This window comes from Homo sapiens, chromosome 19, assembly GCF_000001405.40.
Source record: "Homo sapiens chromosome 19, GRCh38.p14 Primary Assembly".
Taxonomy (NCBI): domain Eukaryota; kingdom Metazoa; phylum Chordata; class Mammalia; order Primates; family Hominidae; genus Homo; species Homo sapiens.
This window is the reverse complement of record NC_000019.10, coordinates 45,149,660-45,162,932: the sequence shown is the minus strand read 5'-3', so window position 1 is coordinate 45,162,932 and position 13,273 is coordinate 45,149,660. Positions and strand designations below refer to the sequence as shown.

The window sequence follows — 13,273 nt, the reverse complement described above, 5'->3', positions numbered from 1 at the left end:
TCTGACTCAGAGCAGTGGGGGAGGATCTGTGGACCGACTGTCACAGGTCCTGCAGGGGAGTGGGTACCCTCTCTGGCTCCCATGCCCCTCAGACCTTCCCTCCCCTGCCACGTCCCCCTCCACTCCCTCCCTCCCCGTGCTCCTGGCAGAGGGATGCTGGCCTCCGGCATGGGCGGCCTTACTGGCACCTCTGCCAAGTCAACAAGTCTGGGGCTGCCCTCTGCCCGGCGATGTGCACAGAACGGAGCGTCTTCCTGGGGAGCAGGGCTGGGAGTGCCCGGAGTGTAGGCCAGGTCGGGCTGGGGCTGCCAGGGCTGGGGATGCATGGGGTAGGGGGAGGCCAGACACCCCCATGGACACACGCGGCCCCTACGCACTCCTGCTGCCCGTCCCTGGGCAGAGTGGCCCTTATGCTGCCCCCTCCCACCCCGCTCGCATCTGTAGCATCTGGGGACTCCTGGGCTTCGCCGCCCGCTGCCTGACATGGGTAAGTGCCCCAGGCTCAGAGCTGCCCACCAAGGCTGGGGGTGAACCCCAAATGGGATGAGAAAGGGGCCCCTTGCTAAAGAACCTCCCCTGTAGAGTGGGGTCCAGTCACCCCGTCAGGCCCTGCCTGGGTCACCCCTTCCTATTCCACCTGGCTGAGTGTAGCTGTGTCCTGTGTCTGCCTCTGCAGTGCTGCCCGCCTGGCCCACTCCCCAAACGCCTGCTCCCCCTAGTGTCCAGCAGCCTCCTGGCCACTGTGCTCCCAGCCCGGGGCAATCTCGTCCTGCGGAGACGGCTCATTTACATTGGGCCACGCTTCATGATCGGGCCGGGGGTGTGGGGGGTTGGCACGGAGGCCCACTGCAGATGCCCACGCTCAGATGCCAGCCCCGCCTCCCTGGTGGGCCAGGGAGGAACCTTCCCAGAGCAACCGGCTTGAAGGGTGGGGGAGGAGACGGGGTCCCAGGTCGCAGGAAGGGCCCTGGCTCTGGCCGTAGGGAGCAGTGTTTGGTCACCTGGGCAGAACTCAGGGCTGGGTGGGTTCCCTTTATCTTGTCCTGGGCACTGTTCTGGGGCTGCCTCCCCCATCCCCATCGGAGCACCCCGTCTGTCAGGGAAGCAACTGTTGACCCCGTTACGCCAGCAGCCACAGGGAGCCGGGGCCCCAGAGAGCCGAGGGGCCTTCAGGGCATCTCCTGCCCAGCCTTACCCCGGCCCTCACCCCTCAGAGGGCATCTGTGGGGAGGCAGTCACTGAGTGCTGGCCCCGAGGGCAGGAGACAGAGCCTTGGCGAGCCTGGGAGTAGCAACCACTGACTGCTTCCAAATCCCCGCCCTGCCTCTGTGTGCCCTGGGGCCGAGGACTTCACTTCTCTGGGCCTCAGTGTCCTCATCTGTGAAGCGGGCATCACACCTGGCCCCCTGGGTGGTGGAGAGGAAGACGGGGCTATGGTGTAGCAAGCCTTGATGTGTGTGCTGTTGCCCTTGTCCTATGGACATCCATTTAGAACAGCGCCAGGTAAATGGGTCAGCACAGCCCCGGGTCAGGTGCGCCAGGCCCTGAGCTGAGGGGACTCCCACCCAGTGCCTCCCTCGCGACAGCCACGAGAGGCAGGTGCCCACTCAGCAATGAGGAAGCCATGGCTCGGAGAGTGAAGTCACCTGCCCAAGGTCACATACCTGGGCCACGGAGGAGCTGGCATCCCAGCTCCCTGTCCCCCCCACACCAGCAGAAGTGCCTGGGCCTGTGGCTGCCTTAAGGAGATTGAGGCAGTGCTGCGGGATGCATCTCCGTTCCTTACCAGGGATGGGGACACAAGACTGAGTCCAGTCGGAGTCCCAGTCCTCGAGAGCAGAGAGCACTGGGACAGGCAGGCGCTGGGGAAGGGGCGGGGACAGGCAGGCAAACCGGTCAGGCGGGCACTGGGCTGAGGCCTCCATCTGGATGGGCCTGCGCTGACAGTCCGGGCTGGTGTGGCAGCTGCTCGTGGGGCAGGCAGCTGGGGCCGTGAGGCCACCGTCAGGTACGAGTGGGACTGGGACTGGGGGTGGGGAGTGGTGGGCAGGCTACCAACTCTCAGCACCCCAGTTTCCTCTGCCCCTCAGCCTTTCCCTATCCCTGTCCCCCACACAGCATCCTTCCCTGTCCTGCTTTCGGCTCTTCACATTGGAAACGCGGTACACCCATCTTGCCCGAGTTTGCTGAGCCTCTCCCCAAATTGGACCACCGCGATTTCATTGCTCCCTCACAATTCCCCCTCCACCGTATCATTCAATGCCCACAGGTACCCAGCTCTGATTTTCACTCACCCTGCTTCTCATCTGCTCTCCAGCTCACCTCACTAGCTCCATGTCCTTCCAAAGCGTGCCAGCCTCCCACAGCGCCCACACCTTAATGACCCCTTGGTCACTCAGCCACCACACCGGACCCCCTATTTCCCCAGCCCATGTCTGCTCAGCACTCCCCAGTGTCCTAGCCTCTTGGAAACTCCCAGGAGCTTCCCAACACCCAGCCTCAAATTAACCCCTAGCCAACCCCAGCGGTTCTCCGTTCCCTCCTCTGGCCATCCCTCCTTATCCTGCCCCTCACTGTACCCTGAAGGCCACCTCTACCCCCTTCTCCCAAGTGACCTAGGAACCCAGCATCTGGGACTTGGCCTTTCCCCTGTCCAAGCTGTCGGGCAGGGCAGGGACCCTGACCTCAGCTCTCTGCTGTTCGTGCCCCAGAGGCTACGCCAAGCCTGTGTGCTCCCTCCTGCCTCAGGAGCAGGCCCCCAGCACCCAGCTGCCCGGCTGCCATGCACAAACATTACAAAGTCCACTTCGCCAAGGATGCCCAGAGCCCCAACGGGCACTACTTCTGGGACCCAGAGTTGGGGCACCGAAAAGGTACGGGTTCAGTTTGGGGGCGGGTGATGGCCGACAGAGGCCTGTGAGGAAGCCAGAGTGAATGGAGGAACAGAAGGGGAGCTGTCATCCCCAGGAGAGAAAAGCCACTTGCACTCCACCCAGAGGCATCTGTGTAGCAGCAGGGCCTGGGACCCAGGACCCGGACCACAGGGCCTGCGGGCCCAAAGATAGGAGCCTGGGCTGGAGTTGGAAGCAGGGGCCGCCTGGCCTGCCCTGCCCCGTTTCCAAACCCTGAGGCCTGTGTGGATGGCCTCCAGCCTGGAGGGGAGCAGTGTGCTGGGAGTGAGGGGTAGGAGAGGGAGCCCCCCCACTGAACATGTCTGGATGAGGCTGGGCCCAGTTTCTGGTGGTGACCACAGGTGATCTTGTTCAGGGTGGGGAGGGGGCAGTGCCCTCCCACTGGGGCTGATTCAGCCTCCTCAGGGCTAGGGCGAGGGCTGGAGCTTCCCAGGTCACCACCCTTCCTGCCACCCTGGCCCGAGCTGGGGACAAGGTCCACCCCCCACCCAAATCCCTGGCCTACCCCTCTCCACGCCACCACCCATCACTCCGGCCTCCCTGGGCCAGCCAGGGCCAGCTCCCAATGGATCTTCTCAGTTTCCCTGACCCCTGCACTGGCGGCACCCCCCAGGGATCCAGGAATCTGCTGTGGCAGGCACCAGCCTCCATTGAAGCCCCAACCTCAGGCGTCCTCTCTCTGCCCCCAGCTGAAGTCCAAGCCTGCACCTTCCCTGCTCCCCCGCCATGGGACAGCACAGACCCTGGGTCCCTCCCCTGCCCATACCTCCCCCGCACATAATCTTACTTTTTGAGGGGTTTCTGGGGCTCCCAAGAATACTCTGGCCCCCAGGTTCTACCTGAAGACTTGGTCTGGCTTGTGCCGGTGCCCCCGGGGGTCGGGGACACAGGCCCAGTCACCCCCACTTCCTTCCTTCCAGGATGCTGTCATCAGTGGCGCCAGGACTCAGCGGCCCTCCGAGCCCATGGGCCCTGTCGGCCTTCCCCCCAATCACACTGGCAGCTGGCCTACCACAGCCACCAAGTGGGTGGCAGTGGCTGGCGCCGGGGCCTCCTGCCCTCCGTCCTGCAGCAGCAGCGGCAGCCCCAGTCCCAGCCCTCACCTCCCAGCCCCCTGCGGCAGCGGCTCTGCCCCATTCACGAAGCCCAGAAGGGGCTGCCTGCAACCTCCACTGTCCCCAAGGAACCTGCCAGCGCCCCTCAGGCGCCCACCTTACCCACCACGGCACCAGCCATGGCCAGGAGTGGCCCAGCTCTACCCTCCGCGGCTGGCGTCCTCCTGAAGCCCAGCGAGCCCACTGATGCCCGGCCCCTGCCCGCCCCAGCGGCCTGTGGCTCCTTCACTGCCTACAGCTCCGGTGCTCACCCTGGCCTTCTTGGGGGCCCTGTCCCCACTCCTGCCGCCTCACTTCCCACCTGCTCTCCTTGCTCCCTGCCTAGCATCTTGCACCTGCCCTCTTCATCCACACCCTGTTCCCTATCTAGGAGGGGTGCGTCCCTGGCCATGGGGCTCAGGCTGGCTGCCTCAGCTTTGCCTGTTGGGGTCCAAGGCTTCCAGGCCAGGCCTGCCCCGTGCCTCCATCCTGCGCCAGGCAGTGAAGGCCTCCCTCTCCTTCCCCCTTTCCCTCTGCCGACACCCTGGCTCTGCTCTGGTCTCTTCTCAGCTCCCTCCTCTGGCTCAGCAGGGTACAGGGTACATGGGGCAGGGATGGTGAGCCCTGGGTTGTTGGCTGGCTCTGGCGTTGGGGAAGACAGAGCTAGGGAGTAGCCTGGGGAACGGAGAGCAAAGGTCAGCAATGGGAAGACCCACTTGCTTGCTCTCTCCCTCCCTCATTCACTCCATGACTAGGTATCCAGCACCCTGAGCGTGCCAGACCCTGTTCTAGGGGCACAGTGGGGAGTGGGATCAACAGACATCTCTTGTCTTCATGGGGCTCACATTGCATTGCAGCCGGGGGCAGGTACAGGAAACATGGAAATTTAAAAGTGGCTGGGAGGCCAGGTGCAGTGGCTCATGCCTGTAATCCCAGCACTTTGGGAGGCTGAAGCTGGTGGATCACCTGAGGTCAGGGGTTTGAGACCAGCCTGGCCAACATGGTACAACCCTATCTCTACTAAAAGTACAAACATTAGCCAGGTGTGGTGGCTGGCGCGTGTAATCCCAGTTACTCAGGAGGCTGAGGCACGAGAATCACTTGAAACCGGGAGGTAGAGGTTGCAATGAGCCGAGATGACACCACTGCACTCCAGCCTGGGTGACAGAGCAAGACTCTGTCTCAAAAAAAAAAAAAAAAAAAAAAAGTATGTCTGGGCGCACTGGCTCATGCCTGTAATCCCAGTAGTTTGGAAGGCTGAGGCAGGAGGATCGCTTGAGGCCAGGAGTTCCAGACCAGCCTGGGCAGCATAGTTATGCCCTGTATCTACAAAAGATAAAATAAAAAATTAGCCCAGCATAGTGATGCACGCCTGTGGTCCCAGCCACATGGGAGGCTGAAGAAGGAGGATCCCTTGAGCCCCAGAGTTCGAGGCTGCAGTGACTTATAATTGTGCCGCTGCACTCCAGCCTGGGTGACAGAGCAAGACCTTGCCTCGAAAAGTATGCCACTCGGTAACAACCACACTAGGTAAAAATAAAGCAGGGACAGGAGATGGGGGATGTCAGGGTTTGCAGATTTAAATCGGGTTGTCAGGCTGGGCCTCATTAAGGCAGCGTTTGAGCAGAGACCCTGAGGAGGCATGTTCCCGGGCCAGCAAGGAGCCAGTACTTCGGCTTTTGCCCAAAGGAGGCAGGAGCCGAGGATGGATGTGAGCTGACAGGATCTCCAGGAGAATGGGCTATGGGAGGAGGACGGAAGCAGGTGGCCGAGGGAGCAGGAGATTGCAAAAATCCAGGCGAGAGGTGCGGCAGCCTTGCCGGGGTGGCGGCAGCAGAGGTGGAGACGGCTGGGTTTCCAGGTCTGGATTGAAAGTAGAGCAACAGGGACTTTAGGTCGGGCACAGCCCTGTCACCGGAGCCTCAGGGCTACGATGTCTATTTCACACACAGGGAAGTAGAGGGTGGATGAGGTGGGGCCACCCAGTGATCTGGCAGAGCTGGAATTAGACCCGCCTACCCACACCTCAGTAGAACTACTCCTGAGTCTGCTTCCTGGCCTCCTGGCTCTGCCGCCAGGTGTGGCCCGTTTCCTACAGCCCACCAGGCCTCTCTGAAAGTGGCTGTGTTACCCCCACTGTGCACCACAAAGCTGGCCCCATGTGTCCCCCCAAGACTGAACCCTACCTTTTTGATACCCCATTTCCAGGTCCAAGAAGCAACCCTCACTGGGGGACAGGGTGCCCTCTGCAGAGTGGATGCCGTAGTGCCAGTGCCTGGTCCCCAGGGCCCTAAATGGCCACTGGAGACCATGACATTGACCAAGGGCCCGGCGCTGGCCAGACCCTTTGGCATTCCTGCTCCCTGGTGTCTCTGCTGCCCCACTCTTCAGAGGGAAATGAGCCTCTCAGAGGTGGCTCTCCCTGGGGTCTGCAGACAAAGGCGGTGGGGCTGGGACTGGAGCTCCAGTCTGGTCATCTCTCTCCCAACCCTGGGCTCAGGTGGGATTAGTGACTTGCCAGCATGATGGACAGGACGGTGGGAGGAGCCTGCGGCCCAGGGCCTCTCCATGCTCTGGCCGGGCCAGCAGAGCAGGCAGGAGTGGCCTGGAGTCCTGCTGATGGTGGAAAGTGGTGTCTTGGCATCTGAGGGCCTCGTATCCCAAATAAAGGCCTTTGGGATTTTCCCCGGGGGAATCACGGGCTAGTGACCAAGCAAGCCTGGTGACCTAGGGCCAGGAAAGCTGACTTCCCGCAGCCTCAGCCTCTGGTGTGTGGCTGGGGGGATTCCAGCCTCCCAGCCTCAGCCTGGTGGGACCCAAAGGGGCACAGCTCGCCCTGGAGGTGAGGGCCACTGATGGCCACAGAAACCTCCACTGCAGGGTTTGACCTGAGTCCCCTTTGCACAGGGTGCCAGGAAGGGGCTGATAGTGGGGGCCATGGAGGGCAGATGGGAGGAGGGTGGTGCCTGGCCAGTGGTCCTGACTCAGTGTCCCCACTCCCAACCACCAGACATCCTGACAGAGGATGACGTCTACTGCAGCTGCCTGGCCAAGACACTCTGCCACGTGCCGGTCCCTGTGACCGTGGGTTTCTATGCCCCTTTCGGCTGCCGCCTGCACATGATGCTGGACAAGATCACGGGTGAGGAGCTGTGTGTGTTTGTTGGGGGGAGGATGAGAAACAGGGCCTCTGGTCCCCGCCCAGCTCCAGGCTTCCCCCAGATCCCCCCACCCCTGTGGCCAGCCTGCCCCAGCCCAGGCCCTCCCCAAGCCCATGCCTCTACCCCGGGCTCTGCTTCTCTGGCCTCCTGGCTGCCCCCAAGTTTTACCCTTCCCTGCTTCTGCCACCAAATCCACTCCAAGGACTCTTTCTGAAGGACAGATCTGACCCTGTCCCTCCTGTGCTTGGTGCCTTCCATGCTCCCCAGCACCTGAGGCAGAAAGCCCAGGCTCTTTATTGAGGCTGCAGGCTCCTGCCAAGCCCCTACTGGCCTCTGTGCCACCCAGACCCACCTCTTAAGGCTTGGTGGTCACAAAGTACCTGATACATAGATGCCAACTGAAGACATGAACTGCAACCCGCCAGGTTCCCCAGCAGCTTTTTTTTTTTGAGACGGAATCTTGCTCTGTCTCCAGGCTGGAGTGCAATGGTGCGATCTTGGCTCACTGCAACCTCCGCCTCCCGGGTTCAAGTGACTCTCCTGCCTCAGCCTCCCAAGTAGCTGGGATTACAGGCGCTCACCACCACGCCCAGCTAATTTTTTGTATTTTTAGTAGACGGGGTTTTACCATGTTGGCCAGATGGTCTCGATCTCTTGACCTCATGTGATCCGCCTCAGCCTCCCAAAGTGCTGGGATTACACATGAGCCACTGCACCTGGCCTTTTTTTTTTTTTTTTTTTTAAATGGAGTCTCACTCTGTCGCCCAGGCTGTACTGCAGTGGCGCAGTCTCAACTCAGTGCAGCCTCCACCTCCCAGGTTCAAGCGATTCTCCTGCCTCAGCCTCCCAAGTAGCTGGGACTACAGGTGCCCACCACCAAGCCCGGCTAATTTTTGTATTTTTAGTAGCGATGGGGTTTCACCGTGTTGGCCAGGCTGGTCTTGAACTCCTGACCTCATGTGATCCGCCCACCTCGGCCTCCCAAAAAGTGCTGAGATTACAGGCGTGACTCACCGCGACTGGCCTCCCCAGCAGCTTTGATCTGGATCAAGCCCTGCTGGAGCTCAGACCTCAGCCCCACGTGGGGCCAGAGGGGCTGGGACTGACGTTCCTCCTACGTGTGCCCAGCCCTGGTGCAGGCCCAATAGCCTTTCCTTCCTGTACTGACTGTCCATTGAGCACTCACTGTCCTGTCCTGTGTTGTCACAGGGTCCCGGGAGGAGAAGAGGATATAAAGAACAGAGAGTCCCTACTCCTCCTGCTGGGTGCTGTAGACACTCCCGCTCATTCACTCTGTGACCTCAGATTTCTCATGATCTATTGTTCAGGCATTCCCTAAGCACCTTCTGGTGCCCAGGGGACACGGTGACCAAGACAAGCAGGACCCTGCCCTTCCGGCTCACAGTCCAGCAGGGGAGAGAGACTTGTCCTCAGACAGTGATGACCCAGAGTAGGAATGGCTGAGGGCCCCCGACCCAGCCTGGGGATCAGGGAGGGCTTCCTGCAGGAGGAGCAGTTAAGTCAACAAGATAAGACCGAGGGTGTATCCTGCTGCCTAGCATAGCTCCTCCTCAGCATCTCATTCATTCATCCCTTACACCGACCACTTGTCCCCTGCCCCACTCTCAGAACCTTCCCGGTGCCCTCCACACCCTCGCTCCGCCTCCAGCCTCTTGCCCATCCCTGGCTCTTCCTCGTATCTCTTTTTGCCTCCTCCCATCTCTCCTCTGCCGGCTCTACCTCTGCCCATCCCGACCCCACAGCCTGGCCTTCAGACCGCTTCCGGTCCAAGCCCGGCTCCAGGCCTCTCCACGCCCCCGCTTCTGCACCGGCTTCCAGCTCTTTAAGGAGCGGCCGCGGCTCGCTTCCAGCCCCTCGCCTCTGCTGGGCGCCCCTCGCCTCTCCAGGAGCGCTCCGCCCTGCCCGTACTAGGCCCCGCCCACCCCGGCGGGTCTGCGGCTCACGCGGCTCCCGGGCTCCCTTCCCGCAGCGCTGATGCAGCAGGAGGCCGCGCAGCGCGAGAGCGAGGAGCTGCAGCACGTGCAGTGGCGGCCGCGTGCCGTGAGCGGCTGGGGCGTCCCGCAGCTACTGTGGTACCTGGTGTTCCTGCAGCCCATCATCACCGAGGTGCACCTGCGGCGCAGGAACGTGCAGTTCCTTTTCATCCGCTTTAGCGCCTGGCAGTACGCGGGCACCGACAAGCTGTGGGCCGGCCTGGTGACCACGTTGTGCGAGGGCATCCGCCGCCACTATGGCGCACTGCCCTTCAGCGTGTACTCGGTGCTGGGCAACAAGCCGGCCACCAGGCAGGACTGCTGCCAGAGCGAGTGGCATTGTCGGCGCCGCGTGTGCCTGGGGCTGCTGGCGCTGCTGGCGGCGCTGGGCCTGGGTGTGGGGCTGCTCTACTTGTCACTGGGCGGCCACGCGCTGGGCCACGGCAGCCCGAGCGGCAGCCTGCTCAAGGTGTTTGGCGGCGCGGCCACCACACTGTCGGGCTCGGGGCTGCTCATGGCCGTGTACTCGGTGGGCAAGCACCTGTTCGTAAGCCAGCGCAAGAAGATCGAGCGGCTGGTGTCGCGTGAAAAGTTCGGCAGCCAGCTGGGTTTCATGTGCGAGGTGAAGAAGGAGGTGGAGCTGCTCACCGACTTCCTGTGCTTCCTGGAGATCTACCAGCGGCGCAGGCTGCGCGTGGTGCTGGAGGTCACCGGGCTGGACACGTGCTACCCGGAGCGCGTGGTGGGCGTGCTCAACGCCATCAACACGCTGCTGTCCGACAGCCACGCGCCCTTCATCTTCATCCTGGTCGTGGACCCCAGCATCCTGGCCGCGTGCCTAGAGAGCGCGGGCAACATGAAGGGCACGGCCGATAACGGCTACCTCTTCCTCAACCGCACTGTCACGCTGCCCTTCTCTGTGCCCATTATGGGCCGCCGCACCAAGCTGCAGTTCCTGCACGATGCGGTGCAGAGCCGCGACGACCTGTTGTACCGCGAGATGACGCGCAAGCCGTGGCTGCCGGGGGACGCCGGGGGCGAGAGCGCGCAGCTGCTGGCGGTGCAGGCGCAGGCGGGGACGGAGCGCGGGCAGGGCCGCATCGACGACGAGGCGGCGCGGCGAATCCAGGAGGCGCTCTTCTGCCTTCACGACGAGCGCGACTGCCTCTACGAGTACGTGCCCGACAACGTGGTGTCCATGCGGCGCATCGTCAACACCGTGCCCATCACCGTGCGCCTGCTGCAGCAGCAGCAGCAGCAGGGGGACTTTGGGGGCCCCACGCCGCGCCAGGCGGTGGCGTGGGTGGTGCTCGCCAACCAGTGGCCGTGCCGCCTGAGCTGGGCGCTGCAGTGCCTGGAGGACCGGCAGCAGACCGGGGGCGCGCCCGAGGGCCGCGCGCGCCTCTGGGACGTTTTCCGCGACAACAGCCGCGAGCTGCACACCATGACCAAGGCGTTGCAGAACGTGCTCGACCTGGACGGCGACCCCGAGCTCTTCGAGCGCTTCCTGGGCGCCGACTTCCCCTTCACCGTGGCCGAGGCGCAGAGCCTGCTGCGCTGCACGGTCAACCTGGACCACTCCATCCGCCGGCGCATGGGTCTCATCCGAGCCGTCAGCGCGCTCAAGCCGCCCAGCCCGCCCAAGTCCCCTACCCGCGATACCCCCCACGCTGCCCACCGGGCCAACAGCGCCTCCAGGGCGCCCCCGTCGGGCCGTGCCTCAGGGCAAGCCGGCGAAGGCCACCACACTGGGGACTTGGCCCACAGGGGCAAGCTATGGCCGGTGGCCTGTGCGCTCTTCCGTCCAGGGCAATCCAGCCCAGGTGGGCCTTAAATGGAGGACTTGGCGGGCAGCAGGAGGCAAGGGTTCCTCCATCTGCCCAGATGGGAGAATAGGGGGCTGGACTGGGGCCGCAACCCAGGGTCCGAATGAGCCCTGTGAGGCCCACACCCCCAGGTGAACCTGAGCCAGAGCCGTGGACATAGCTTCCAAGGAGTGCGGCCACAAGCCGGTGCCAGCATGAGAGCAGGCACAGAAGGACCAGTGAGGAAGTCAGGGTATACATGCAATAAATGGAGGTGTTGAGAGCCCGGAGTTGCTCTCCGCATCCTGATCTGACCAGGGACCAGGCCTGCCCCGTCCTGCCACAGGGCCTGCCCCATCCTGCTAAGCCCACTTACTCCTCTGCACCATGCTGGCCTCCTCATCTGGCATCTCTGTGGCAGGAGAGGCTGCGGGGGTGGTGGGTGAGGCTGCAGAGATGACAGGTGGATGGGCCAGGTTGACTCAGGCAACATGGAGCGCCCAGGCCTCAGGGAATCCCAGTCCTTGTCCCCATGCCCTAGCTTGCCCCTCTGTGAGTAGGGCAGGGGCTGGCATTTCTGAGGATGACCTCGGTGACCTCAGCAAGCTGCTCCACCCCTAGGGTGGCTCCATTCTCAACGTAATGGGTTAGACCTCGCTGGCACCTCAGCCAGCTGGAGTGGGTGGCACTAACCTCCCCCAGACAAATAACTGTCCACAGGGTACCTGCCTTACGAGTCACTCCAGGGCCACTGGTTAGTCACTGACACTGAAGCCACTGCATCAGCCCCCTGATGAGGACAGGGAAGTTGGGCAGAGATGGGGACATACAGGGCCCAAGCCACAGCCAGCCAGGAGGGGTTACACTAGGGCTCCCCCACTTTCCCTCTGGGCAGAGCCCTGGGCTGGGGGTGGGTGTCACTCCTCTGGGCAGTTCCTGATTCCTCACTGGTCAAATGTTCAGCCACACGCTCAGGCCCTGGGGTGCCTGGCCCAGTTCCAAGTGTGTGCCGGCAGGGGCCACAAGGGCCAACACTGAACATACCCTGGGATGAGGCTGAGGGTGTGGCTTCTGAGCCAGGGCCCTGAGGCTGGTGGAGGGGACAGCCCCCGAGGAACCTGAGAGCTCTGCAAAGGCACACACCCTCAGGCCATGGGACTGGGTCACTGACCTCACAGTTCTTTAGTTCCAAGGCTGGGCATAGCATCCAGGTCTGGCTGCAGCACCGGAGTTCTCTGGCCACAGCAATTGTCACAGGTGCATGCAGGTCAGTGGGAGCCCTCTATGATCTTCCCTGGGGCTGGGCAAGCAGAGGTGCTGTTTCCCATTCCTGGACTGACTAAGCTGGTAGGATACGCCTGGACCTCCTGGGAGCTGTTTCCCAGCAGTCAGGGAGAGCTGGCCTCAGAGGGAGAAGGATGGGGCCTCGTGACACCGTTAAGTCTGTTTCTGTAGATGTGTGGTTGGGGTCAATATATCCCTGTAGCCTCCCTTAAGCCAGTTTCAGTTGGGTTTGTTTCTTACCACCTGGAATCCAAGCTGAAAATAAATTTTCACTCCTGTTACCAGGAGTGGGGTGCTGTGAGAGATGCTAACGTGTAGACTTGGCTGGAGGTGAGGGCAGGACTGAAGCCCCCCATGCCTCAGTAAGAAGCTGCATCAGCCTGGCCAACATGGTGAAGCCCTGTCTCTAATAAAAATACAAAAAGATTAGCTGGGCATGGTGGTGCATGCCTGTAATCCCAGCTACTCAGGAGGCTGAGGTGGGAGGATCACTTGAACCCGGGAGGTGGTGGCTGGAGCCAAGATGGTGCCACTGCACTCCAGCCTGGGCGACAGAGCAAGACTCCGACTGATTAAAAAAAAAAGCCGCAGCCTCTGTTACGTGGTACAAGCTGTGGCCAAACTGTTGGTCACTGTATCTTCACGTGGAGCTGCTATGAGAACTTGCACCTGTGTAAAGCCACGGGACCGTTGTCACGAACAAAAAAGGAGCACGGCTGACCTGTGCGCCTTTCCCAGCAATGAGTCAGGGAGCAGGTTTCCCTTCTCCACTCCCTTCCCCCATCTGCCCACTTGATCCGGGATCCTTGAGGCCCTGGGGAGCAACAGAGCCCTAAGAGCTTCAAAGGGGCCTGGGTCCAGGAATAACTTGGTGAAGAGCTGCCTGCCACTCTGAACATCCACATGTGACAATAAACATCTCCTGTGTTAGGACATTGAGATCTTGCATGAAACAGACCCCCTACGTCTTCAGCAAAGGCTACCAAAACGTGACAAGCTCGGGTGACACTTGGGTGGCTGAAG

At 62.0% G+C, this 13,273-nt stretch overlaps 1 protein-coding gene and 1 long non-coding RNA gene across 5 annotated transcripts, besides 5 other annotated features; one reads left to right on the top strand and one right to left on the bottom strand.

The window, feature by feature from the left end:
• NKPD1 (NTPase KAP family P-loop domain containing 1) lies at positions 92-13,189 on the top strand. Of its 4 annotated transcripts, none has more exons than XM_011526799.3 (5): positions 92-2,269; positions 2,712-2,873; positions 3,833-4,270; positions 7,017-7,148; positions 9,158-13,189. In XM_011526799.3, the coding sequence occupies exons 1-5, from the start codon at positions 2,260-2,262 to the stop codon at positions 10,993-10,995; spliced, it is 2,580 nt and encodes an 859-aa protein (XP_011525101.1). In that variant the 5' UTR covers positions 92-2,259; the 3' UTR covers positions 10,996-13,189. The 4 variants fall into 4 exon arrangements, with proteins under 4 accessions (XP_011525101.1, XP_011525106.1, XP_011525107.1 ...); NM_198478.4 differs by having other exon boundaries at positions 1,951-2,008; XM_011526804.3 differs by lacking the exon at positions 3,833-4,270.
• Positions 1,669-2,301: an enhancer, noted in NCBI's record as "H3K4me1 hESC enhancer chr19:45663890-45664522 (GRCh37/hg19 assembly coordinates)". NCBI's record gives its function as "activates a minimal SCP1, AML or CMV promoter by ChIP-STARR-seq in naive H9 embryonic stem cells {active_cell/tissue: H9 hESC(naive)}" and the evidence as "EXISTENCE:reporter gene assay evidence [ECO:0000049][PMID:30033119]".
• LOC105372420 (uncharacterized) lies at positions 5,569-9,354 on the bottom strand. Its single transcript, XR_935986.2, has 2 exons — positions 9,265-9,354; positions 5,569-5,869 (listed from the first exon to the last, which is right to left on the bottom strand). It is a non-coding gene; the product is annotated as an uncharacterized LOC105372420 (long non-coding RNA).
• Positions 6,603-7,320: an enhancer, noted in NCBI's record as "H3K4me1 hESC enhancer chr19:45658871-45659588 (GRCh37/hg19 assembly coordinates)". NCBI's record gives its function as "activates a minimal SCP1, AML or CMV promoter by ChIP-STARR-seq in naive H9 embryonic stem cells {active_cell/tissue: H9 hESC(naive)}" and the evidence as "EXISTENCE:reporter gene assay evidence [ECO:0000049][PMID:30033119]".
• Positions 8,057-8,283: a silencer, noted in NCBI's record as "fragment chr19:45657908-45658134 (GRCh37/hg19 assembly coordinates)". NCBI's record gives its function as "represses an EF-1alpha promoter that drives an FKBP-Casp9 reporter gene in an ReSE screen in K562 erythroleukemia cells {active_cell/tissue: K562}" and the evidence as "EXISTENCE:reporter gene assay evidence [ECO:0000049][PMID:32094911]".
• Positions 9,503-10,128: an enhancer, noted in NCBI's record as "H3K27ac-H3K4me1 hESC enhancer chr19:45656063-45656688 (GRCh37/hg19 assembly coordinates)". NCBI's record gives its function as "activates a minimal SCP1, AML or CMV promoter by ChIP-STARR-seq in primed H9 embryonic stem cells {active_cell/tissue: H9 hESC(primed)}" and the evidence as "EXISTENCE:reporter gene assay evidence [ECO:0000049][PMID:30033119]".
• Positions 9,812-9,871: a silencer, noted in NCBI's record as "silent region_10755". NCBI's record gives its function as "represses an Ori minimal core promoter by ATAC-STARR-seq in GM12878 lymphoblastoid cells {active_cell/tissue: GM12878}" and the evidence as "EXISTENCE:reporter gene assay evidence [ECO:0000049][PMID:35858748]".
• Positions 13,190-13,273: the final 84 nt, after the last annotated feature.

Excerpts from the sequence above, each read along its gene's own strand:
- NKPD1 (XM_011526799.3), top strand. Across the intron at positions 2,874-3,832 it reads AGAGTTGGGGCACCGAAAAG|GATGCTGTCATCAGTGGCGC; the intron begins GTACGGGTTCAG and ends CCTTCCTTCCAG. Across the intron at positions 7,149-9,157 it reads GATGCTGGACAAGATCACGG|CGCTGATGCAGCAGGAGGCC; the intron begins GTGAGGAGCTGT and ends CCCTTCCCGCAG.